The sequence below is a fragment of the Homo sapiens genome, chromosome 13 (assembly GCF_000001405.40).
Source record: "Homo sapiens chromosome 13, GRCh38.p14 Primary Assembly".
In the NCBI taxonomy this organism is placed as follows: domain Eukaryota; kingdom Metazoa; phylum Chordata; class Mammalia; order Primates; family Hominidae; genus Homo; species Homo sapiens.
Window position 1 is genome coordinate 49,997,042 of NC_000013.11, and position 27,144 is coordinate 50,024,185.

General features: G+C 40.5%; 2 protein-coding genes and 1 long non-coding RNA gene across 7 annotated transcripts in view; 2 read left to right on the plus strand and 1 right to left on the minus strand.

The window, feature by feature from the left end:
• Window positions 1-21,426, plus strand: TRIM13 (tripartite motif containing 13). Of its 4 annotated transcripts, NM_001007278.3 has the most exons (4): window positions 1-175; window positions 626-722; window positions 3,954-4,067; window positions 14,894-21,426. In NM_001007278.3, exons 3-4 carry the CDS (start codon window positions 4,065-4,067, stop codon window positions 16,121-16,123), a joined length of 1,233 nt encoding a protein of 410 aa, NP_001007279.1. In that variant the 5' UTR covers window positions 1-175; window positions 626-722; window positions 3,954-4,064; the 3' UTR covers window positions 16,124-21,426. The 4 variants fall into 4 exon arrangements, with proteins under 4 accessions (NP_001007279.1, NP_434698.1, NP_005789.2 ...); NM_052811.4 differs by lacking the exon at window positions 3,954-4,067; NM_005798.5 differs by lacking the exon at window positions 3,954-4,067 and having other exon boundaries at window positions 1-90.
• The window catches only part of DLEU2 (deleted in lymphocytic leukemia 2), a 142,993-nt gene that overhangs the window by 14,493 nt on the left and 101,356 nt on the right, over window positions 1-27,144 (minus strand). Inside the window, exon 11 of the long non-coding RNA NR_152566.1 lies at window positions 33-378. This is a non-coding gene — a long non-coding RNA (deleted in lymphocytic leukemia 2). The remainder of the gene's footprint in view (window positions 1-32; window positions 379-27,144) is intronic.
• On the plus strand, window positions 18,403-23,881 carry KCNRG (potassium channel regulator). Of its 2 annotated transcripts, NM_199464.3 has the most exons (3): window positions 18,403-19,030; window positions 21,782-21,879; window positions 23,173-23,881. In NM_199464.3, the coding sequence occupies exons 1-3, from the start codon at window positions 18,453-18,455 to the stop codon at window positions 23,184-23,186; spliced, it is 690 nt and encodes a 229-aa protein (NP_955751.1). In that variant the 5' UTR covers window positions 18,403-18,452; the 3' UTR covers window positions 23,187-23,881. The 2 variants fall into 2 exon arrangements, with proteins under 2 accessions (NP_955751.1, NP_775876.1); NM_173605.2 differs by lacking the exon at window positions 21,782-21,879.

A 27,144-nucleotide genomic window follows, 5' to 3' on the forward strand; every position in this document is an offset into this window, starting at 1 on the left:
GAGTCCATTTTGGGGCTGTGCTTGGCGCGTACCGTGCGGTCCCTGTAGTTGGAGGACGGGCGGTCGCGCGGCCTTTCCCACTAGCCGGAGGTCGGAGATAAGTACCCGCCGCCCGGCTCCTCTCGGGAAAGCGGGGTGGTCCTCGAACCTTCAGCGAGGGTGGGGAGTTGCCCAGGTCAGCAGGGATCTGCGTGGGTTGGGGGGGCTGGCGAAGGCCGTCTGAGCTCCAGTCCGGCAGCGCGGCAGAAACCAGCGGGGCACTGTCATGGGCCTGGGGAGGAGCGGCCTGCGGAGGGCGCCGGGGCAGTGTGTCTGTGGTCCAGAAAACCTGCTCCGTCCGGAGCCTTCCTGGCCCCGCTACCAGCGTCTCCACATCCCCTAGAAAAGAAAAGACGGGTGTGGGCCTTAGGTTACAGCGCGCCGCCAGCGTTTGGTTGCATGGCGCCGGGGGAGGGCGCCCTAACCGAGAAGCTGCTTAATACAAAGAGCTCCAGGCTCCTGGCGGTTCACCAGGTCTAAACAGCCGGGCTTTATTTGTGGGGGCGATTGAAAAAATTGAGGGTCAAGATTGGGGTGCTGTGCAAATAAATGCGTTAATACTGTTCTTTTTCTTCTTTCTTTGCAGTAGCCTCTAGTTCGTTAGTCAAAACGTGAAAAAAAAGACCTGCTTTGCCCTGGGAAATAGTAACCCTGCCAAATACATCAGCTTGTAGGAGACAGAGGTAAACTACAATAATTTTCCTGTGTTATCTTTTTTTTTTAAACACCCAATTTCAATAGGCCCTAGAACCTTCCAAAATGGAACTGTGTGTAGAATACGTATGTTCCCATCCACTTTCATTGGTGGTCTTTGTTCTTTGCATATTTTGTTAAAACTTAGAAAAACAGAATTCACGTTTAGCAATTATTTATGTGGTATTTATCTTAAATATAGCCAAACATTCATATTACAAAGGAAGAAAGGGGCTTCCACACTTTTTTCCTACTTTTTTTTCCCTTCTCCTATGCTTAGTGAATTGTCAGGCTGCTAGGGCTTGTAGAACAGGGCTTGAGTTTTCTAGAGACCTTTATATAATAGGCACTTTAAAAGCAGAATTTCATTTACATAGGCACTCCTTCTAGTAGAACTTGATGGAGCTGTTAACCGGCTATACTTCCTTCTTGCACAATGGGAGCGTCCCTATCCCTCCCTAAAAATACGTTTTTTTTCCTTTCTCCCAGCTGGCTTACTAAACCTCCCTGGGAAGTCCTTTCCTAAAACCGGGCTGTTCTGTTCATTCTATACATTTATGATAGGTTATCTGGCCTTAATTCTGTCACAGCTTTTGTTCAGATATGCTCATTTTCATGACACTGCTTTGTACCTGATACCTTATGTAATATTTGTTTTGCCTTGCCTTGAAATCACAGTTCAAGTTTAGAACCTTTTCTTGCTTGATACACTGATGCTCCAAAATAACACCTTAAATGTGTAGAGTTTGCCATATGTAATTAAACCTTATTTATGTTTGTATAGTTTCGTAGTTTATGGAATTCTCACACATCACACAGGAGTTGAGAAATTACTTTTAGGCAGCTAGAAAGGGTAAAAGAGTTCTCGGTGGAATTTTCCTTTAATAAAAAGCAGCTCCTGGCCGGTGACTTTGGGAGGCTGAGGTGGGTGGATCACTTGAGGTCAGGAGTTCAAGACCAGCCTGACCAATATGGTGAAATCCCATCTTTACTAACAATACAAAAATTAGCTGGGCGTGGGGGTGCGTGCACCTGTAATCCCAGCTACTCGGGAGGCTGAGGCAGAAGAACCACTTGAACCGGGACGCAGAGGTTGCAGTGAGCCAAGATCGCGCCACTGCACTCCAGACTGGGCAACAGAGCGAGACTCTACCAAAAAAAAAAAAAAAGCCCCCAAACCATTTATTTTCTAACAGAAAGCCTGAAAAGTCAAGCTGCAAGCAAAAATATGCAGGCTAGAAGCTTTTATATGTAAATGTAGCCTGCTGTATCTGGAAGCCAGGTACATTCAATATGGGGTTTCTCACTCCCTTTTCCTTGTCACCCTATGTGGGCGTCTGGGCCGCTCCCTTTTCCTTGTCACCCTATGTGGGCGTCTTGGCGATCACTAGGTAAAACCACGGGTGCAGGTGTCATGGCGGCCCCAGGTAGAAGCTACATTTGCATAACAAAAAATTAGGGTGGGAGGGCCAGTCTTTAGACGGGCTATGTAAATGATTCACCTGGTCAAACCAGTCCCCTGGGCCCTATGTAAATCACCACCTCCTCAAGCCTCTGTACAAAATCGATTGCGTTTCACCCCAAACCCGGAGACCCTCTCTTGGGTGATATTTCTCAGCGTGAGGAACCTTTCCCTATTAAATTTTCCGCTCCTAAACCCACTCCTTGTGTGTGTCCATGTCCTGAATTCTTTCTTGGCTCGAGACAACCACGGGTGTATCCCCCAGGCAATGGAGCCATTTCATTATGAGGTAAATACTATAAAAATCATTTTTAAATTTTTTTCCAAGAGATGGGATTCTCAACTGTGTTCCCCAGGCTGGTCTTGAACTGGGCTCAAGTGATCCTCCTGCTTCAGCCTTCAGAGTAGCTGGGACTACAAGTGTGTGGCACCATTCCCAGATATAAAAATCCTAATTTTATGAAGGATAAAACTGGTGCTTGAACACAGGTACTCAAAAGCAGGTTCTGTGCTTTCCCCTTCACTAGAGAGCCTGTTAAACCTAGTTTGTAAAAACTGCAAAATTTTAGAAGGGATTTTAGAGAGCTTATGATTAAACCCCTTCATTTTATGAATAAGAATACTGAGTTCTTGAGTCCCTTTCTAGATATTGCTAAGGTCTAAGAATTAGAAAACTCAGGCTGTGATGCCTAGTTTGCTGTGTACAACTGATGAGTCTCCACTTCTTGAGTGCTGGGGGTGTCTTAGTTTTTTTGACTCCTAAAATTAGGTGTTTAGATGATTTCTAAGATGCTTTTAAGCCCAGTATTTCTATTCCTACCCCATAACTTTTATTACCATTTATTGCCTATACATATATATTGGTAAGACACAGATGCAGACTAATGTTAACTGCCTTAAACTTTTATATTTTAAACTCGGGTAGGTATGGTAACAAGTGTGTCTTATTGTTTTTTACTAAGTCCTATAAAACTATGGTTTTATTTAAGGTTAGGAACTGCATAGAGAGGTGGACCACTCTAATACATCATTGGTTAGAGTTCATAAAGTGATATAAACCCTTTCTAGAGAGAAACCTAGTCATCTTTTCAACAGCCTTAAAAATGTCCTTACTGTTTGACCCAGAAGTACATTTAAAGGAATTGTCTAAGGAAGTAATTAGAGCTGTGGAGCAAGACTTTTCTCTATAAGGTGTTTACCTAAATGTTACAATACCAAAAAAACACAACAACCCACAAACAAAACAACACAGCAACAAGAACAAACCCATAAATGAGCAATAAGAAAGCATATCCACAACATGGACTGTCATGTTTTTCTAGAACATATCATGATGGGGGAAAGGCATGTAATAAAATAAGGGGATAGGATACAAAATTGTATTATGCTACCAGTTCTGTTAAAATGTGTGCACATGCACGGACACATGGGATTGGAATAAAGACACCAAAATAATAGTAGTGGTGATTTCTTGCTGATGTGATTATGGGTGGCTTTTTCTCTCTATTTTCTGAATTTTCTATAATAAAAACTAATTTTATAATTTAAGAAGACACAAAAGCTAGTTGCATGGATAACTTCGGTTTCAGTATGGTGTCAATATTTTATGGTTTTAATTGTGGTAAGAACATTTAACATGAGACCTATCCTCTACACAGATTTCTAAGTGTACAGTACAGTGGTGTTAACTATAGACATGAGCAGATCTCTGAAACTTACTTTTATGTGTCTTTTATAAACTATTTATCATACCTTCTAGAATAACAGCACCTGGCCGGGTGCAGTGGCTCAGGCCTGTAATCGCAGCACTTTGGGAGGCTGAGGTGGGCGGATCACCTGAGGTCAGGAGCTCGAGACCAGCCTGGCCAAAATGGTAAAACCCTGTCTCTACTAAAAATACAAAAAATTAGCTGGGCATGGTGGCAAGTGCCTGTAATACCAGCTACTTGGGAGGCTAAGGCAGGAGAATCACTTGAACCCAGGAGGCGGAGGTTCCAGTGAGCCAAGATCACACCATTGCACTCCAGCCTGGGTGACAAGAGCAAAACTCTGTCCCAAAAAAAAAAAAAAAAAAGGCAGGAAAGAGTCCAGGCTAAACTATGGTATGGAGAAGAGAATGAAGGAAAAGGAAAAAGTTTTTCTTAGTGCTCTGAACTAGCGAGGTAATGAGTGACCTGGTTTATATTTCTGAGAATTTCACCTTAGTCTGACAACCCTTTGTGAACTTTCTGAGTAAGTGAACTTACCAAGCTAGTGAACATTCTGTACTAGCTCTATTTTGCCTTGTCAGGATCTCTGCTAGAAATATCTTGGAAATTTTAACTACTGTTTATTCTAGGATAATGCCAGAAAAGGTTGGTTACTTACTGTCTTATATGGACACATAGGTAACTTTTATATTGTTTGCAAGAGCCACATAACAATTATTTTAGATACTATATGTAATATATTAATTTTCATTTTTAGAGGTATTGAAATCTGATATTTCTTACTTTGTCCTGTTTTGATCATATATATGCCAGAGGTGCTATGTGTAATACATTAATTTTCATTTTTAGAGATTATATCTGAAATCTGATCTCTGTATCTTACTTTGTCCTGTTTTGATCATATAAGTCACCGGGACAGTCTCTAAAAGAATGAAGAGTAATAACACATTGATACAGAGTATTTAAAATAAAAACTTTGTAAATACTTTTCATATACCTTTTAAAATAGCTATACAAATGAGGAGAGAAACTAGTATGTATAAGTGGTTTGTCAGAGGTTACAGACTGAGAGCCAGACAAGTATGTCAGTCTCCTCACAGGTCTGGATTCAGAGACTTCCAGTAATACATTAAAAAAAAAAATTTATGAAAGATGAAACCATAGGCTGGGCATGATGGCTTATGCTTGTAATCCCAGCACTTTGGGAGGCCAAGGCAGGAAGATACTTGTGGCCAGGAGTTTGAGTCCAGCCTGGCCAACATGGCGAAACCCCGTCTCTATTAAAAACATAAAAATGAGCCTGACGTGGTGGCAGGCACCTGTAATCTCAGCTACTTGGGAGGATGAGGCAGGAGAATTGCTTGAACCCAGGAAGAGGAGGCTGCAGTGAGACGAGATCGCACCATTGCACTCCAGCCTGGGTGACAGAGCAAGACTGTCTCAAAAAAACAAAAACAAAAACAAACCATACTACAGCAGATTAAACTTCTTATGAGGCTTATATTTAGCTAATGTTTTCAAAGTTTTACTTTCTAAACTCAATATGGTTTTTTAATAATTGGCTCTTTAGTTTTTCCACCCATTTTATTGTGAAAATGTTCAAACAGAGAAAACTCAAGAAGAATATTAAAGTATTCTTACATCCTCTACCTAGATTTTAATAGTTGTTAATTAGACCCTTACTTAGTTTCAAGAAAACATTTATTAATGGATCTCTCTTTTTTTTTTTTCTTTTTGAGATGGAGTCTCACTCTGTCATCTAGGCTGGAGTGCAGTGGTGCGATCTTGACTCACTGCAACCTCTGCCGCCTGGGTTCAAGTGATTTTCCTGCCTCAGCCTCCCGAGTAGCTGGGATTACAGGTGTCTGCCACTGCTCCCGGCTAATTTTTGTATTTTTAGTAGAGACAGGGTTTCACCATCTTGGCCAGGCTGATCTTGAACTCCTGACCTCATGATCCACCTGGCTCAGCCTTCCAAAGTGCTGGGATTACATGCATGAGCCAATGCACCTGGCCTAATGGATCTCATACTACAGTATAGTAAGGTGCAGTGGCTCATGCCTGTAGTCCCAGCTACTCTGGAGGCTGAGATGGGAGAATATAGTACACTATTTGAAAATAAGATTAACTAGTGTGCTGAGAGGAAATGATTTTTTTTAATGAGCCATTTTATTATAGGAATTATTTCAAAGTAACATTTGTGGCTGTCTCAGTTCAGTAAAGCTTAGCATAATTTAATGTCTATGAAGTGAGTTTCAATGTTTGCTGTCTAGCCACCTGATAGATACTTAGGTACTGTTTTGAAATTCTTGCCTTCAAAGATGCCTCAAAACAGGATGGAAATTTGAGTTAAATCCTTAAGATAAAAGCGTGATATATTTATTGGCTTTTCTTTTTGTTCCCTAATGGGAAATGAAAAAAAACAAAAAACATGGGTAATATTTTGAACAACTTTATATTGCTAACAGCCAGTGGAATTTAAAACCTTAGTAGGAAAGTTTCTTTTACTAATAGGTTTTATAAGGAGAAAATGAACTTTTGTTTCAGAGTGAATGAATGAGTACTTTCTGCAGTATAATCATTTTGGGTTGATCTCTTAAAAGAATTCTAGAAGGAAGAAGTCCAATACATATATATAAACTCTATTATGACACGTTTACTTTGTAAGTATTGGCTTTTCCATTTTTATTATTTTAGTGGTTGTGTTATGGTTCTCATTTATAGAAGCTGTTGTTGCCAGATACTAATTGAGGTAGGATTCATAAAGCACTTTTTGTAATCCTTCTTCTTTGTGGATAGCTTGACAATTTGTTCAAAAAAATAAACTCATAGTGGTGGTATGCAACTTTGTTAAAAATAAAACTGTAAATCAAAAAGTGAATTTCATTGTATGTAAATTTAAAAGTATGTTAGAAAACATCAATATGGCAGGAGAACAAGTTTGACTTTTTTCCGCAACTAGTGTCTACTACCACCTTTCTGGATACTTTAAAAAGTTGTCAGCTTTTAAAATTGTTGGTATAAAACATTTGGGAAGTTTTTAATTGGTATTTGTGCTTCAAAATTTAAGACTTTTCTAAGTATTCAGAAATATTCAAAGGAAGAGATGAATTTTGGAAAACTTGTTTGCCTTTATGTGCTTAATCTGACTTTAAGTTGAAATTTGAACAGTGAATAATAATTTTGTTTACATAAAGTTTTTTGACTTCTATATTAGGAAAAAAACTAGCTTGAGGCCAAGTGCAGTGGCTCTTGCCTGTATAATCAGCACTTTGGGAGGCTGAGTCCCGACTGCTTGAGCTCAGGAGTTTGAGACCAGCCTGGGCAACATGCTGAAACATCATCTATACAAAAAAAGTACAAAAATTAACTGGGAATGGTAGCATGTACCTGTAGTACCTTACAGCTACTCATGAGGCTGAGGTGGGAGGATCACCTGAGCCTGGGGAGGTCAAAGCTACAGTGAGCTGTGTTAGGGTCACTGCATTCCAGCCTGGGCAACAGAGTGATACTCCCTCAAAAAAAACAACAAAACAGACTGGGCACACTGGCTCACGCCTGTAATCCCAGCACTTTAGGAGGCTGAGGCAGGTGAATCATTTGAGGTGAGGAGTTCAAGACCAGCCCGGCCAACATAATGAAACCCTGTCTCTACTAAAAACACAAAAATTAGCCAGGTGGTAGTGGTGCATGCCTGTAATCCGAGCTACACGGGAGGCTGACGCAAGAGAATTGCTTGAGCCTAGGAGGCAGAGGTTGCTGGTGGGGAGGTTGCCAGTGAGCCAAGATGGCGCCACTGCACTTCAGTCTGGGTGACAGCCCGAGACCCTGTCTTAAAAAAAAAAAAAGGGCCAGGTGCGGTGGCTCACGCCTGTAATCCCAACACTTAGGGAGGCCAAGGAGGGCGGATTACCTGAGGTCAGGAGTTTGAGACCAGCCTGACCAACATGGTGAAACCCTGTCTCTACTAAAAATACAAAAATTAGCCGGGTGTGGTGGCGGGCACCTGTAATCCCAGCTACTCAGGAGGCTGAGGCAGGAGAATCGCTTGAACCCAGGAGGCAGAGGTTGCAGTGAGCCGAGATGGTGCCATTGCACTCCAGCCTGGGTAACAAGAGCGAGACTCCCTCTCAAAAGAAAAAAAAACAACCAGAAACCCCGAAAAAGAGGTGGAGGGGATGTATCCTTTTTTGTTCATGTCAAAGGAGTAAGCTGGGTTGATTACTTCAGATTTTGTGTTAGCCATACTTTAAGATTTTGTAAGTTATTTTGCTGTGAAGAGTACCTTTTATTTATGATATTAAAGGCTTTAACTTAAATTATCCTTCAAAACTTTGGAGGCAACAAAGATGTCTACCATGGTTTCTTGGATCAGGTATTAGTCACTTGTGGAAGTGGTCACATAGTTTTGTCTTAGAGAAAGTTTTGATTATAAAGAGAAGGCATAGGCAGGGCATGGTGGCTCACAACTATAATCCCAGAACTTTGGGAGGCCGAGGCGGGTGGATCACCTGAGGTCAGGAGTTCGAGATCAGCCTGGCCAACATGGCGAAACCCTGTCTCTACTAAAAATACAAAAATTAGCCTGGCATGGTTGTAGGCGCGTGTAATCCCAGCTACTCGGGGAGACTAAGGCAGGAGAATCACTTGAACCCAGGAGGCGGAGGTTGCAGTGAGTTGTGATTACACCACTGCACTCCAGCATGGGCAACAGTGCAAGACTCCATCTCTAAAAAAAAAAGAGAGAAGGCATAAAACTAAAGGAAGAAAGGAAGAAGAGAAAAGGAAATATTTAGTTTTTTTTTTTTTTTTGTGATGGAGTTTCACTCTTGTGCGATCATGGCTCACGGCAACCTCTGGCCTCACGGGTTCAAGCGATTCTCCTGCCTCTGCCTCCTGAGTAGCTGGGATTACAGGCATGCGCCACCACGCCTGGCTAATTTTGTATTTTTAGTAGAGACGGGGTTTCTCCATGTGGGCCAGGCTGGTCTCGAACTCCCGACCTCATCTGCCCACCTCGGCGGCCTCCCAAAGTGCTGGGATTACAGGCGTAAACCACCGCGCTTGGCCAGAAATATGTAGATTTTAAAGTGAATGAAAATAAGAATCTTTAAATTATCAACCAAAATTTGTAAGTTAAGTCACTAAAAATGAAATTAGAGGATCTATTGTAATTTTGATGCAATTTTTTTGAAGATACTTTCCAAATAGTATTTTTTCCCCTCTGGTTCATTTTAAGAGCTGTATGTTGATCATGACCTTGGGATGACTGTTTATTATTTCTAAGTTTTCCTGTGTGTGACATTTTCCTTTTCACTTTTGATCACATTTGTTTGCCTGAAAATTCTTCTTGGCCCCTGTCGTTGTATCCTCAATTTTCTTCATAGTTTCTCTTTGCCTTTGGTGCCCTTTTTCTCCTCCTCATCCCACCCAATCACTTGGTATATTCTTTGTTTTCTTCTTATTTAATATGCTTGGATAGTATTCTCTGGAAGTATTAACATTGCAAGGATGAGTAAATTAGGTTTCTTTTATTGAGTGTTGCCCTTACCACTTTCCTGTTTCTATTGCCTTCTCAAAAATCTGGCCTTTGTGTAGAATTCTTAGGCAAAAGATGATAGTAATGGAAGTGAAAAGTGTGGAGCAGGACTGGGGTTGGCAGATCATCAAAAGTTTGACTTCATTGTTCTGAAAGTTTGTGTGTCTTACAGCTGTGTGGTAATCTCTTTCAGAAGACAAACTAAGTTGAGTCTTTATAGCCATTCTCTTTCCAATGCTTTTCAGAGGTTATATGATTTGTCATATCACAAAGGATTTTTCAGAAAAATCAGCTAATTACACCTTTTTTTGCAATATGACACTAAATTTGAGACAGAATAATCTTTGCTTTAGTTCTCCCTATGTTATGTATTATAAATACATGTATCTTACAATCTACTATAAAACCATAAACTGGCTGGGCGTGGTGGCTCACACCTGTAATCCCAGCACTCTGGGAGGCTGAGGTGGGCGGATCACCCGAGGTCAGGAGGTTGAGACCAGCCTGGGCAACATGGTGAAACCCTGTCTCCAGCAAAAAATACAAAAGTTAGCTGGGCATGGTGGTGGGCGCCTGTAGTTCCCAGCTACTCAGGAGGCTGAGGCAGAGGAACCGCTTGAACCCGGGAGGCAGAGGTTGCAGTGAGCCGAGATTGTGCCACTGCACTCCAGCCTGGGTGACGAAGTGAGACTCTGTCTCAAAAAAAAAAAAACCCAAAAAAATAGGGCCCAGCGTGGTGGCTCACGCCTATAATCCCAGCACTTTGGGAGGCTGAGGCAGGTGGATCATGAGGTCAGGAGTTCAAGACCAGCCTGTCCAAGATGGTGAAACCCCGTGTCTATTAAAAATACAACAAAATTAGCCGGGCGTGGTGGCCGGTGCCTGTAATCCCAGCTACTCGGGAGGCTGAGGCAGGAGAATTGCTTGAACCTGGGCAGCAGAGATTGCAGTGAGCCGAGATTGCACCACTGCACCCCAGCCTGGGCAACAGTGAGACTCTGTCTCAAAAAAAAAAAAAAAACGCCAGGCACGGTGGCTCACCCCTGTAATCCCAGCAGTTTGGGAGGCGGGTGGATTGCCTGGGGTCAGGAGTTTGAGACCAGCTTGGCCAACATGGTGAAACCCCGTTTCTACTAAAAATACAAAAATTAGCTGGGCGTGGTGGCAGGTGCCTGTAAATCCCAGCTACTCTGGAGGCTGAGGCAGGAGAATTGCTTGAACCCGGGAGGCGGAGGTTGCAGTGAGCCAAGATCACACCATTGCACTCCAGCCTGGGTGACAAGAGTGAGACTTAGTCTCAAAAAAAAAAAAAAAAGCCATAAACTAATTAACCCTGCAAGCTCAGCTTGTCCTTTAAATACTGTTTACCTTCTAGATATAGTCCAGTCATGTATGGCTGTTGAAATTACTGTTAAAAAAGTATTCGCTTTTTTTTTTTTGAGACAGAGTATTGCTGTGTTGCCCAGGCTGGAGTGCAGTGGCGCTGTCTCGGCTAACTGCAAGCTCTGCCTCCTGGGGTCACACCATTCTCCTGCCTCAGCCTCCCAAGTAGCTGGAACTACAGGTGCCTGCCACCACGCCCAGCTAATTTTTTTGTATTTTTAGTAGAGACGGGGTTTTACTGTGTTAGCCAGGATGGTCTTGATCTCCTGACCTCGTGATCCGCCTGCCTCGGCCTCCCAAAGTGCTGGGATTACAGGCATGAGCCACCCGTGCCCGGCCAAGTATTCACTTTTTATCATAGATGGCCTACCGATTAAGTCATATGTTATTGTTGATAATGTGATATTGTTGATAATGTGATATGTGCATATATCCCTGAGTAAACTGAATGTAGAAATATGTAGTACTCTTTGGTTTTACAACTATAGAGATGAATGTATATTTAAAATAAACTTGTGGCCTGATGCAGTGGCTCACACCTGTGATCTCAGTGCTTTGCGAGGCTGAGGCAGGAGGATTGCTTGAGGCCAGCTAGTAAGACCTGGTCTCTACAAAAAAAAAAGTAGCCAGGCGTGGTGGTGCATGCCTGTAGTCTTAGCTACTTAGGAATCTGAGGCAGGAGGATTGCTTGAGCCCAGAAGTTTGAGGCTGCAGTAAGCTATAATTAGGCCACTGTAGTCCAGCCTGGACAACAGAGCAAGACCCTGTCTCTCAAAATAAGAATTAAAAATAATAAACCTGCATTGAGAAATGGTATTGCCTGTATTAGGGATCTCAAATATTTTGGTCTTAGGACACTTTTACACTCTTAAAAATTGAGAATCCTGGCCTGTAATCTCAGTGTTTTGGCAGTCTGAGGTGGGAGGATCACTTGAGCCCAGCAATTTGAGACTAGCCTAGGCAATATGGTGAGACCTCATCTCTACAAAAAAAAACTACAAAGAAAAAAAAAATTAGCTGAGTGTGATGGTGCGTGCCTGTAGTCCCAGCTACTTGGAGGTTGAGGCAGGAGGATGGCTTGAGTCCAAGAGGCAGAAGTTGCAGGGGACTGAGATTGCACTGCTGTACTCCAGCCTGGGTGAAAAAGCTGTCTCAAAAAAAAAAAAAAAAAAAAAAAGAGAATCCCAAGAACTTTATGTTTGTACTGTCGATATTTACTCTATTAGAAATTAAAACAATTTTTAAAAAATACTCACGTAAAATAACAATGATAAACCCATTACAAGTTAACAAATAATTTAGGAAAATAACTATTTTCCAAAACAAAATTAAGAGAAGCATGGCATTGCAATAGAGGCCTGTAATGAATGGCTATTTAATAGAAGACAGCTGGAGTCTTTTGTCTGCTTCTGTATTTAACCTGTTGGAATATATTATTTTGGTTGAAATAAACGAAGAAGGCTGGGTGTGGTGGCTCATGCCTGTAATTCCAGCACTTTGGGAGGTGGAGGTGGGACGATTGCCTGAGGGCTGGATTTCTAGACCTGCCTGGGCAACATAGTGAGACCCTGTCTATAAAAAAATCCACGGCCAGGCGCGGTGGCTCACGCCTGTAATCCCAGCACTTTGGGAGGCTGAGGCGGATGGATCACCTGAGGTCAGGAGTTCAAGACCAGCCTGGCCAACGTGGTGAAACCCCGTTTCTACTAAAAATACAAAAATTACCTGCGTGTGGTGGTATGTGCCTGTAGGCCCAGCTACTTGGGAGGCTGAGGCAGGAGAATCACTTGAACTCGGGAGGTGGAGGTTGCAGTGAGCCAAGATAGCACCACTGCACTCCAGCCTGGGTGACAGAGTCAGACTCCGTCTCAAAAAAAAAAAAAAAAAAAAAACAACAACAACAAAAAACACTAAAACTAAAAATTAGCAAGGCATGGTGGTGCACACCTGCAGTCTGTAGTTACTTGGGAGGATCTCACTTGAGCCCAGTATTTCAAGGCTGCAGTGAGCTATGATCATGCCAGTGCACTCCAGCTTGGGTGACAGAGTGAGACACCCCATCTCTTAAGAAAAAAAGAAAAGAAAAGGAAATACACAAAAATCTAGGCTTACACAGATATGTAGTTGGTAAAGGAAGGAATATTATTTAAATAGCCTTTTCAGGTAATTTAATCTTTTTTTTTTTTTTTTTTTTTTTCCTGAGGCAAGGTCTCTCTCTGTTGCCCAGGCTGGAGTGCAGTGGTGCTATCTCGGCTCACTGCAGCCTCTGCCTCCTGGGCTCAAGGGATTCTCATACCTCAGCCTCCCGAGTAGTTGGGACTACAGGCGCATGCCACCATGGCTGGCTAATTTTTTTGGTATTTTTTTTGTAGAGGTGGAGTTTTGCTATGTTGCCCGTACTGGTCGTGAACTCCTGAGGTCAAGCGGTCCACTCTCTGCAGCCTTCCAGAGTGTTAGGATTACAGGCGTGAGCCACTGCTCCCAGCCTGAATCTTCTTGTGATACTATACAAAAACTCAGCAAGTGCTAGTTTCTTTGTTGGAGTATGGAATCTGAAATTGTTTATGAACCTGTTGGTCTTTCGTGAACTTCAAATGGATCTTTTACCCATGCCTGATTTGTAACATGCATTAGTGACTTGAAATAGTATTCACTGTGTTTTGCAGATCTCCAAATATTGACACATTTCATTATACAGTACTCCTTTCCCCTCAGAAAATCCTCACATTCATTAATATCACTGCCCATCTCATCATAAAAGTCTTTAATTAATGGGAAGCTGTCAGGCTCATAAATATCAAATGTTTTCCAAAATTCTAATTTTTACATAAAACCCAGCCTTTTCATTAGCAAGAGATACTGTCAATTGTTTTCTTTGAAGTAGCAAGCTCATTTTTTTTCCCCAGAAAATGTCAGGTAGCTAAGTCTGAATAGCCATAGTTTATCATTTGTTCTTTCAGAAGGTAAAAATGGTGTTCCATGAAAAAAAGCAGCTGGTTTAACTTGCCGCTCTTCACTTAAGTGCTTTTTCTCCAGACAACATCTGCCGGTATGCAGAAGTGCTTTGTGCGTACTGCCTATTTTGTCACGCAATATATTAAAAAACTGTACACAGGCTCAAGACTTAATAAAATGAATAATTTTTACTGCTGCATCAAGAACATTCTTAAGTGAAACCGGTACTCCAACCCCAATTTGGGTGGTGATGAAGAATACAATTCAGCGCTTCTTACAGCTTTGCTCGATCCCTCCTAAGGCTTCAGCAGTGTCTACACACCATTGCTTTTACACCATTGGTACAAATGTTGACATGGTGCAAAAAGCAAGTAACATCTTAGTGTCATTACGAAAATAGTTTTGATCTCACAGATGCCCTGAAAGAGGGACATCCAGGTTTCTGCCCACCACATTGTGAAAATTGATGATTCTAGATAATACAAAATGGCTTCTGTTACTGTTCTGGTGGTTTAAAAACAACAAAAAACCTCATTTAGTTCTCTACCTAGAAGAGTGAATTGCAACTCTCATCTTGTGCTTTTACCTGTGATTTTAAAAATTGTAATCTTGCCTTTGAAACAAAAATATGCCAATTCATAATAAAGTCTACATGAGAGTACATGTTTGGATTTATATTTCTGTGCTTCTTTCTTTTATATAACATACCATTTCATATTTGTGGGCCCAGAGTAAAGAGCTCATTCTGTTACAGACACTGAATAGCCTTGTTTTTGTCAGTAGTCAGCTCTGTTTTAAAACAATTGCTTGGGTCCTGCTGGCTCAACTTGCAGTTGTCCTAGTCCTGAGTCTTGTCTTAGCCAAAGACTGTTGTTGGAAAGCCCACACAAAGGCCTTGTGTATAGGATGCCCTACTATTAAAGGAGCATGTTCTAGTCTCAGTGGATTAAATTTGCTTTGGTGTGCATTCCCTTACCAAATTTCTCACTACTTTGTTTGGCTGGTTATTTCAGTGAAAAATCATTTTAACGTGAAGGCAGATTTCTTCTAATTATTACATAGTCCTAGTGGTGACGGTTATTGGAGTAAAATAATTTTTTTTTTTTCTGGTAGGATGTGATGGAGCTGCTTGAAGAAGATCTCACATGCCCTATTTGTTGTAGTCTGTTTGATGATCCACGGGTTTTGCCTTGCTCCCACAACTTCTGCAAAAAATGCTTAGAAGGTATCTTAGAAGGGAGTGTGCGGAATTCCTTGTGGAGACCAGCTCCATTCAAGTGTCCTACATGCCGTAAGGAAACTTCAGCTACTGGAATTAATAGCCTGCAGGTTAATTACTCCCTGAAGGGTATTGTGGAAAAGTATAACAAGATCAAGATCTCTCCCAAAATGCCAGTATGCAAAGGACACTTGGGGCAGCCTCTCAACATTTTCTGCCTGACTGATATGCAGCTGATTTGTGGGATCTGTGCTACTCGTGGGGAGCACACCAAACATGTCTTCTGTTCTATTGAAGATGCCTATGCTCAGGAAAGGGATGCCTTTGAGTCCCTCTTCCAGAGCTTTGAGACCTGGCGTCGGGGAGATGCTCTTTCTCGCTTGGATACCTTGGAAACTAGTAAGAGGAAATCCCTACAGTTACTGACTAAAGATTCAGATAAAGTGAAGGAATTTTTTGAGAAGTTACAACACACACTGGATCAAAAGAAGAATGAAATTCTGTCTGACTTTGAGACCATGAAACTTGCTGTTATGCAAGCATATGACCCAGAGATCAACAAACTCAACACCATCTTGCAGGAGCAACGGATGGCCTTTAACATTGCTGAGGCTTTCAAAGATGTGTCAGAACCCATTGTATTTCTGCAACAGATGCAGGAGTTTAGAGAGAAAATCAAAGTAATCAAGGAAACTCCTTTACCTCCCTCTAATTTGCCTGCAAGCCCTTTAATGAAGAACTTTGATACCAGTCAGTGGGAAGACATAAAACTAGTCGATGTGGATAAACTTTCTTTGCCTCAAGACACTGGCACATTCATTAGCAAGATTCCCTGGAGCTTTTATAAGTTATTTTTGCTAATCCTTCTGCTTGGCCTTGTCATTGTCTTTGGTCCTACCATGTTCCTAGAATGGTCATTATTTGATGACCTGGCAACTTGGAAAGGCTGTCTTTCAAACTTCAGTTCCTATCTGACTAAAACAGCCGATTTCATAGAACAATCAGTTTTTTACTGGGAACAGGTGACAGATGGGTTTTTCATTTTCAATGAAAGATTCAAGAATTTTACTTTGGTGGTACTGAACAATGTGGCAGAATTTGTGTGCAAATATAAACTATTATAAAATCTGTTTCAAGTATGCAGTTTTCTTTTGTTAGAAATTGTTAGAGAATAGAGAGTGGTAATTCAGATTTGGTCAACGATTCTAGTCACATATTTTCCTCCAAAAGTATTCCTTCCAAAAATAATCTATACATGTTCAAATTAGGTAGCATAAAGATAAAAGTGAAATTTAGTAGTATAGGCCTGAACCTTTTTTTGTTTAAAAGAGTGCTTTTGAAATAAGCATCCACCCCAAATGTTGGTTGTATTTATGCTGTGATAAAAATAGGTGAGAGATCATATGATCTAATATTGTATTGATGGAAGTATAGGTAGTATAGTAGTGATTGTTCTTCAAGCATGCAGTAAAGATCACTTTTTTTTTTTTTTTTTTTTTTGAGATGGAGTCTTGCTCTGTCGCCCAGGCTGGAGTGCAGTGATGCAATCTTGGCTCACTGCAGCCTCTACCTCCCAGGTTCAAGTGATTATCCTGCCTTAGCCTCCTGAGTAGCTGGGATTACAGGCGCGTGCCACCACGCCCAGCTAATTTTTTGTATTTTTAGTTGAGACAGGGTTTCACTGTCCCTTAAGACCATCCTGTTAGCCAAGATGGTCTTGATCTCCTGACCTCGTGATCCGCCTGCCTCGGCCTCCCAAAGTGCTGGGATTACAGGTGTGAGCCACCGTGCCCAGCCAAAGACTGCTCTTAAAGCACCTTTTTGACAGTGAACATGGTCTAAAAAAGGGAAGATATTGTAGAAGATTTCACACACACACGCGTGTGTGGGAGACAACTAAAGGTATTGAAGGTACTAATTAATTAGATTTCCAAAATTTTCTACAGAGAGTTAATTATCACCAAAATGTGAATGGTACATACAAAACCTGGCATTTTCTTGTGATAAGTTTACATTTTTAGGAGAGTGGAGCTTTCAATCTGCCCTTTTCTCCTTTGTTTTTGTAGTTTTCACCAAAGATGATCAACTAGAAATGTTAAGTGGCTATGCAAGCAAAAGCATAGATAGGTTAAAAAAAAGGATCAGCTGGCTGGGCAGGGTGGCTCATGTCTATAATCTCAGCATTCTAGGACAGTGATGTGGGAGGATTATTTGAGGCTAGGAGTTCCAGTTCGAAACCAGCTTCGTAAACATAGCAAGACCCAGTCTCTACCAAAAAAAAAAAAAAAAAAAAAAAAAAAAAAAATATATATATATATATACACACACACACACACATATGTACACATACATATATATACATATATATGTATATATAGAACACATGGCAAGAGCAGGAAATGGGAAGACTACCTTTTTTCTGGCAGCTATGTGTTGTTTTGTTCGAAAGATGGCAAGTGTACAACCAAACCAATCCACTTGCTTACAGAAAGAATGTTTAGTGTAGTTAAGACTAATTTGACAACAGATAAAACAGTCTGTCAGCTATTACAAAGTAATCAGCTGAACACTAATGCTGTTCTGTCTGCTCACAAGAGATAAAGATACCCTCTCATGGAATAAACACCTTGCTTAGAATTCATATAACAAAGAAGTAACCTTATAACTGCTCTCTAGTCTGCCTTATTTGTGTCATAGAGTAAGATATTCCTTGAAAGCCCATTAAGTGGAATAGACTTTCTGAAAATAAGAGTTCTTTACCTCAGTCCTCCTCTAATTTGGTTGAGAGGAGGTAATGAAAATGGGGACAGGATAAAAGGTGGCAACTAAATTTAAAGCACAGAAGAAATGATTTCCTTCTAGCTATGAGAATAGTCAAATTGAGCTTGCCAGGCTGTCTCATTCCTAACATGTAATTCATGATTTAGCCACTAAATTTCTAAGGAGATCATAAGAAATTAAGAAAAACGTTTAAGTCTAGCCTCTGCGTGGTAGACAGGTATGGGGAGGGAGAATGCTTTTCCCCTCCCAGTAATAAAAAAAAAAAAAAAAAAAATATATATATATATATATATATATATATATATATATATATATATATATATATATATAGTTTTACTAGGTTTTCATGGATAAGTTTTTAAATGTAAGACAGGAAAGGGATCTATTTGATGTCTATCTTCAGATATATTGGCAGTTTTCCTTAAGCTATTTAGTTCCTCATCTGTTGCTTTTTCATTTTGTATACTGCAAGTTCCCAGGCAACTCGAATTTGCAAACACAGCCATGGATACACTATTTACCTTACAGTAGTTTCCTGGGAATCTAAGTCTGGTTTTTGTTATTCTTCCCTCCCCTCCACTGCATAATCATGTATAACTAGCAACATTTATGGTTATAGGTTGATTTCCTAAGTGTGGCTGATGGTAGCCTCTAGTTTGAAGTGAGGGAAGAATGAGTAGTCAGGAACTGGTCACTTTGAATGTGGGAGGGAAGATATTCACGACAAGGTTTTCTACGATAAAGCAGTTTCCTGCTTCTCGTTTGGCACGCATGTTAGATGGCAGAGACCAAGAATTCAAGATGGTTGGTGGCCAGATTTTTGTAGACAGAGATGGTGATTTGTTTAGTTTCATCTTAGATTTTTTGAGAACTCACCAGCTTTTATTACCCACTGAATTTTCAGACTATCTTAGGCTTCAGAGAGAGGCTCTTTTCTATGAACTTCGTTCTCTAGTTGATCTCTTAAACCCATACCTGCTACAGCCAAGACCTGCTCTTGTGGAGGTACATTTCCTAAGCCGGAACACTCAAGCTTTTTTCAGGGTGTTTGGCTCTTGCAGCAAAACAATTGAGATGCTAACAGGGAGGATTACAGTGTTTACAGAACAACCTTCAGCGCCGACCTGGAATGGTAACTTTTTCCCTCCTCAGATGACCTTACTTCCACTGCCTCCACAAAGACCTTCTTACCATGACCTGGTTTTCCAGTGTGGTTCTGACAGCACTACTGATAACCAAACTGGAGTCAGGTATTTTGTACTTTGCAGTATTTCTCTTGTATACCAGTTTGTGATGTTTTCTCTAAAAACTTGAAGTTCCTCAGGCCTGTAACTTCTGGAAAAGATGATTATTCAAAATAATGTTTTGGGGTAACCAGTGGAGTTGGGTAGAATGACCAAATAATTATTTTCCAAACTGGGATACTTTTTAGAGTGAAAGGGGCTATTATTAGGTGGGACAAAAGGAATAAATGAAGACTGCCCAGAAAAAACTGAGACTATGGACATTCAAATCATGGGAGAAAATAATTTTGTAGATTATGTTCCATTGCTAATGAATTTGACTTAGAAAAGAATTGCCTTATTTTTAAGAGATTGTTTCAGTGGTTCACATAAAGGCTCGCTCACTGGTTTCTCTTGAGTTCCTTACACACTATATAAGTTGTTCTTTCAGTTTTATGATTCAACTACTGTTTTTCCTTCAGCTGACTTTATTTTTAAACACCCTTAAAGACAGATATATCTCATGGCAAATTTGGTATCCTGTTACAGCCTTGGCTCTTAAACAACTCAAAATATTGGGATAGGCTGTCAGTATGTTAAGGATAGTTGCTCCTGAGTCAATTCTTCACTTACTCCCTCTGTTGTTCTTGGCTGGATCCTAACGCTGATTTCCACTCTGCTGTCACAAACATTTTTCCCCCCGTAAAATGTCTTAATGCTGTCCTACCATTATTTTACCAACTGTGAAAGCTGGCTTTAATTTTTAGGAGGAAAAGAAAAGCCTGCATGTGTTCTTTATTGGTATCATTTAAAATATACTTTTTTTTTTTTTTTTGGTAAAGGTAGGCGTATTTTAAGATATTTTCTTAACTTGAGCAGTAGCCAACAGGAAGGATACCAGTGTCTCTCTCTCTTAGCGACACACTCCTTGGTCTTGCTTACCAACTGGAGGACACTAGGTAGAATAACCGAGTATGACAATTCTTAATTGTTTACATTTTATAACTTCCTGTCCTTCAAAAGAGTTTGAAATGTCATTTTGGGAAAAGAGAGCCAGTCAAGCTAGTAGGCTGATTGTGAAGAAAATCTAATACCTTATCTTTATCTCAAACCTCTGTACAACTTTATTTTCATTGATGGGATACTTTAACAAAAATGAAATTTTTTTTGGTTTTTAAAATATGAGTGATTATGACCTCTTTGGGGATCATGCTTCAAAAAGTCAGAAACCTAGAGACAAAACTGTCATTGATTTTTAAGAAGAAACACACTAGGTCAAAAGAAGATGTCCTGGAAATACGAAGTACTCTTTAAAAACCATGCATTTGGAGAAAGTAATTGTTTCCTTGAAAAACATGATTAAAAACTAAAACTGGGATGTTCCTGTGTGTACACAGTGCCAAATGGTTTTCCCTTTTTATGTTGTGTTTTAGAAACAGCACGAAAGTTTTTTCCATTTTAAAGTGAGAAAACATTATATTTAGACTTCCATAATTCCAAAATCAGAAGCTATTTTTAAAATTAGCATTTTCTTGCATCACCAAATGGTATTCAATTGTTTGAAGCTCAAAATTTTTACCATTCCATAAATGTTTGTGAATTTTTAGACAGTGCCAATTTAAAAGTAGAGATAGCCAATCTGAATACGGTGAAATTATGGGGATCTCTGGTGATTGGGATGAAAACTCTGGCCTTAAAAGGTCCACTTTTAGTATATAATTGCCTAATTAGCAATCATTTTTATTTTTTGCTCACTCCCTGGTCTGAATCTATCTGTCTATTCAGATATTTTTTGGTAGGTTTGGAAAATGGAGAAGTGAGCCTAATTGGTGCCTAATTGTCTGGTGTATCATTCACTTTATTCAGTTTGTTCTATCAATATGATTTACCCCTCAAGGTTAACCTAGCAGGTTGCTCAGTTATTATCTCTCAAGGTCACAGTACTAGAAATACTTGGCTTGCATCTTTCAGATGCCATTCATGTTATCAAGCTCAAATTATAGTTGGTCACAGGATTCTAAAGTCTTTATTTGACTTCTCCTTTTTGAACTGGCTCAAATGGAAAAGTGTAGTTGCTTTTAAATGTTAAAAATAAGTTTAAACTTTATATTTCCCATTGGTTTCCCCTATTTTGTCCTTTCTTTGTGTGCTTGAAATATTTTATTTTTCAGTTTGTCCTCATAGGGAATCAAGTATTTTAGCTAGGTGATGTCTTGCAAGTACGTTCCACTTTGTTACAATCTACTATCTGTATATACTATTTGTATCTTAATTCTTTTATGAGATGTTCTGTAACATTTTTCTCACTTTGACAAATGTTTTTAGACTGTACAGTCAAGATCTGGCGCTTGGGGGTAAGTGGAATGATTTGCTAATATTGAGAATCTGTTGTATCAAACATAATAAACTTTTTTTGAGATGTGCTTTGTAGTTTGGTAATTCTTAGATTTTACTATTGGTTTCTTTGCTTAGAATGAGTTTCTAAATGTGAACTACAAAAACCACTCTACTTCAAGCATGATCATTAGAAGAAGGTTAGGGATGTCCCCAAGCATCATTTTATCCCTTAAAACTACAGATAGTTTAGGTTTCTGCCTGAACTAATCTAAGTTAGCTTTTTCTTCACATCTCATAAACTAATGGTGGGAGGACACAAAGAGCTTTATGAAAACATTTTTGATGGCAGATAAGGACGGAGTCATAAAGCTGTATCCATGCAGATGTGTTATGCTGACATTATTGTTATTATTGAGATGGAGTTTCACTCTTGTTGCCCAGGCTGGTATGCAATGGCGTGATCTCGGCTCACCACAACCTCCGCCTCTGGGGTTCAAGTGATTCTCCTGCCTCAGCCTCCCGAGTAGCTGGGATTACAGGTATGCACCACCACACCTAGCTAATTTTTGTATTTTTAGTAGAGACGGAGTTTCACCATGTTGGTCAGGCTGGTCTCAAACTCCCGAGCTCAGGTGATCCACCAGCCTCGGCTTCCCAAAATGCTGGGATTACAGGCATGAGGCACTACGCCCAGCCTATGCTGACATTATTAAAGCCAACAGATAGCTAATCTGAAAAGTTCATGTGCATTTTTTTCTTTTTTTCTTTTGTTTTTTTTTTTGAGACGGAGTCTCGCTCTGTCACCCAGGCTGGAGTGCAATGGCGCCATCTTGGCTCACTGCAAGCTCCGCCTCCTCATGTGCATTTTTCTTGAATTGGTTCTGTGTACTGCATTTGTTCTGTGGAGCACCTCAGTGAATAGAAGATTTTGCCCTTTCCACTCTCCAGAGGCTTTTGACCCCAAGTTGTGCTCTTTGACAATGGAGAGTTATTGCGTAAAAAGTGACAATAAAATCTTGACATTTCATATCTGCAAAATTTCACTTAAAAAAAGGTAAATTTCATAGGAGTAAGTCGCAAAGGAAAATCCATAATGTCAGTGCTAATAATTGATAAGATTAGATCTGGAGGGGAAATTGTAAGTGCACAGCATTCATTAAAATATTTGATTCAATCAACTAATTAATAGCAAATTCAAAACAAAATTGGAAATAGTTATATAAAAATTAATACAATTTGTTTGATCAAATGTTTTCTTTAGAAAGTGATCTCTCAAAAATTGATGAGTGTTGGTTTACTTCTAAATATGGAATTGAAATGACTTTCAGAATCACAGCAAGGTCTCGATTTTCAGCACCTGATTACTGATTTGGTAGCCTAGCACGGTGGCTCATGCATGTAATCCCAGCACTTTGGGAGGCCGAGATGGGTGGATCACTTGAGGTCAGGAGTTTGAGACCAGCCTGGCCAACATGGTGAAACTCAATCTTTACTAAAAATACAAAAATTAGCCGGGCATGGTGGTGTGCGCCTGTAATCCCACCTGCTTAGGAGGCTGAGGCAAGAGAATAGCCTAAACCTGGGAGGCAGAGGTTGCTGAGAGCCAAGATCACACCACTACACACCAGTCTGGGTGACAGAGTAAGACTCCATCTCAAAAGAAAAAAAAAAAAAATCACTCATTTGGATTTGTAAAGTAAATGAAATTTCAAAAAAAAAATCTGTCTTGAGAAGGTATGATGCCTTTGAGGTTGTAAGTCAAATTTATGTGTATAGTTTTGCTAGTTATTAAAGGGATGCTTTATAATTAAGCTTCTTTTTGTGTGTCCTAGGTATGTTTCTATAAAACCTGATAACCGAAAATTGGCCAACGGAACAAATGTCCTCGGCTTACTGATTGACACTTTATTAAAGGAAGGCTTTCATTTGGTCAGCACTAGAACAGTATCTTCTGAAGACAAAACTGAATGCTATAGCTTTGAAAGGATAAAAAGCCCTGAAGTGCTCATCACGAATGAAACACCAAAACCAGAGACTATCATCATACCAGAGCAATCTCAGATAAAGAAATGAAGTTGTCTATCCTCTTTTAAAGAGAAATTGCCATTTTTCTTGTTTCATTACGTATTTAGGGCATACATGTTAGCCAAATCTACACTCAGCCTAACTCTTGGCTTCATCTGCTGCCATGCCGTCTCTGGGCAACCAGGCCCCAACTGTGCTTAAGCCATAATGCCTGCTGCTCTCTAGACAACTCCATGTACTTGGTGCTTTGGTATATGTTCTACCTTCAATACATCTTTCCCTTTCTCTTCTTCATGAATGCTTATGAGCCGAGATTGCGCCACTGCACACTAGCTTGGGTGACAGAGGAAGACTGTCTCAAAAAAAAAAAAATTGATCAAACTGATGGATACCCTAAGTACCCTGACTTGATCATTACACCTTCTATGCATGCAACAAAATGCCACGTGTACCCCATAAATATGTAGAAATATTATATGTAAATAAATAGTTGGGCCTTCCGTATTTTCCCACTTATGTTTGTTTCAGCATTTATTTATTTATTTATTTTTTTAGACGGAGTTTCGCTCTTGTTGCCCAAGCTGGAGTGCAAAGGTGCGATCTCGGCTCACTGCAACCCCCACCTCCTGGGTACAAGTGATTCTCCTACCTCAGCCTCCCGAGTAGCTGGGATTACAGGCAGGCGAAACCGCGCCCAGCTAATTTTTGTATTTTTAGTAGAGATGGGGTTTCATCATGTTGGCCAGGATGGTCTCAATCTCTTGACCTCGTGATCAGCCCGCCTCGGCCTCCCAAAGTGCTGAGATTACAGGCGTGAGCCACCGTGCCTGGCCCCAGCATGTTTTTATCAATCACAGTTTCATTTCTGACAAGGCACCAAATATTTTATTTATTTATTTAATACTCTTTATATAATACTCTGTCACCAGGCTGGAGTGCAGGAGTTGGAAGCTGTAGTGAATTCTGGTGTAATCATAACTCATGCAGCCTCAAACTCTTGGGCTCAAGTGATCCTCCCACCTCAGTCTCCCAAGTAGCTGGGACTACAGGCGCATACCACCATGCCAGGGTAATTGTTTTTTATTTTTTGTAGAGACGAGGTCTCACATGTTGTCCAGGCTGGTCTCGAACTCCTGGCCTTAAGTGATTCTCCCACTTTGGCCTCCCAGAGCACTGGGATTACAAGTGTGAGCCACCATGCCTAGCCAAGGCACCAAGATTTTAGCTTATGATTCTTGAACCTCAATAATTTACCTTATAAGTGATTAGAAGTTCTCCCTACAAATCTTTTCTGAAAAACAGCTCTAATGCTTAATTTTACTCTTGGATTTAATATACAAGTTGTAATTACAAAGAGTTCTTAGGGTATGGTAAAGTCAAGATTAATTTAGGCTGCTTTTTTTTTTTTTTGAGACAGGGTCTCACTCTGTTACCCAGGTTGGAGTGCAGTGGTGCGATTTCAGCTCACTGCAACCTCCATCTCCCAGGCTCAAGCGATCCTCCCATCTCAGCCTCCTGAGTAGCTGGGACTACAGGCATGTGCCATCACGCCCACCTAATTTTTTGTATTTTTGGTAGAGATGGTGTTTCACCATGTTGCCTAGGCTGGCCTCGAACTCCTGACCTCAGGTGATCCGCCCGCCTCAGTCTCCCAAAGTGCTGGGATTACAGGTGTGAGCCACTATGCCTGGCCTATTTAGGTGCTTTAAAAATGTATTTGAAATCAGGAGCCTGAAGTAGTATAAAATGGTCACAAGAAAGCAGCTTGAGAAATACATGGTTTAGGAAATCAAAATCTGTTTCTAATTTGTCCTTTATACCATTTACAAGTGACAAACTTCAGCTTTGCTTTATAAACTTTTGTACTGATTCTCTATCATAAGTAATAGAAATGTTCACATCAATAGAGAATTACACCACTAGAGACTATGCTGGGGTAATAAAAGATTTGCTAAGAGCACTCAATCTCTTATATTCTACTGCTATTTTTCCTCTGTGCTAGGGAAGTTGACTGTAATGGCAAGTTTAGCAACGTAGAAGCTACCGTGAGGAAATCTTCAAAAATAAATTTATGAAATTGTATTACCTTCCTGGAACCAAAGGACCCATGGGAGACAGCAATGTGGCATCAGACTTAGCATTTTTAAACAAATGCTCAGAAATAAAGATAGGACATTTTAAAATTACTAAAAATACTTAGCTTTCTGGAATATCAATGACCTAGTAAAAAACGTAAGTACTGGGCTGGCCTGGTGGTTATAATCCCAGCATTTTGAGAGGTCAAGGCGGAAGGATCCTTGAGCCCAGGAGTTCGAGATCAGCCTGAGCAACAGTGAGACCCCCATCTGTCTATGATTTAAAAACAACATCAACAACAAAAAACCCCAAAAATCACAATTACCGGCTTTGCTGTAGAACTATATACCTCAAGACTTACTAGGATTTCTGGCTGGGTGAGGTGGCTCACGTCTGTAATCCTAGCACTCTGGGAGGCTGCGGTAGGCGGATCACCTGAGGTCAGGAGACCAGCCTGGCCAACATGGTGAAACCCCGTCTCCACCAAAAATTACAAAAATTGGCTGGGCATGGTGGCACGTGCCTGTAGTCCCCAGTTACTTGGAAGGCTGAGGCAGGAGAACTGCTTGAGTCTGGAAGGCGGAGGTTGCAGCCTCCGCCGAGATCATGCCATTGCACTCCAGCCTAGGTGACAGAGTGGGACTCTGTCTCAAAAAAAAAAAAAAAAAAAAAAGGATTTCTTTTGGGCCTATTATAAATGAAAAGTACAAATTTTATCAAAACACTTCATCATCGAAAATACCTTAATATTTAACTAAACTATGAGATCCAATCACAAAAATATTTTCATGGATAAAAAGCTAAAATCTTACATGGGTGAAAATGGAAAATGATATTACGCATGGCACAGAATAAAAACAGAACTAAACATGTAGCAAAATAAATAGGACCTTGCTCCCAAAACTAAAATGTGTTTAAGACTTGCCTAACCACACAAGGCTTTTAGGTAGGTAGTCTTCTGTACCTTCAGATTTCACACCAACACCTCAAAATCCAGAAATCATTAAAGCAAATGGCTTTTTATTAAACAAATGGCTTTTTATCAGTAGGGTAAAACATACCAAATAAGTGTTTCATTTCATATTATTCTTCATCATCTCACAACACTTCTGGAAAGAATGTGAATTTCTTCAGGTTCATGAGTATGAGGCCAAATAGGAGAGATTTGTTTTACCCTTTTTTTTTTTTTAAGCAGGATTTCACCCTGTCACCCAGCTAGAGTGCAGTGGTGCTACCATGGCTCACTGTAACCTCAAAATCCAGAGCCCAAGCTATCCTCTAGCCTCAGCCTCCTGAGTACCTGGGACTGCAAGTGCATGCCACCATGCCTGGCTAATTTTTAATTTTTTTTGTAAAGATGAAGTCTTACTATGTTGCCCAGGCTGGTCTTAAACTTCTGGGCTCAAGCAATCCTTCCACCTCACCCTCCCAAAGTGTTGGGATTACAGGCGTGTGCCACTGCACATGGTCTACGCTTTCTGTAATAAGAGACCTCCAAGGAAATCTGGCTGCAATGTTTAAGGTTCCATGAGTTCTTTTAAGATGAGGACTGAGACTGCTATAGTGGTCTATGTCATACTCCCCCATAGTGCTGGGCATCTAACAAGCTCAAGTGAACTGAACTGAAACATTTGGAAACTATAGTCTCAGTGAATAGATGCTTGGAAAAACAAGATTTATAGTAGATTCAAAGATGGAAGAGG

Bases quoted from the DNA above. Each gene is read 5' to 3' on its own strand.
- KCNRG (NM_173605.2), top strand. From the start codon at position 18,453: ATGAGTAGTCAGGAACTGGTCACTTTGAATGTGGGAGGGAAGATATTC. The intron at 19,031-23,172 runs GTATTTTGTACT...TGTGTGTCCTAG, and splicing joins GATAACCAAACTGGAGTCAG to GTATGTTTCTATAAAACCTG.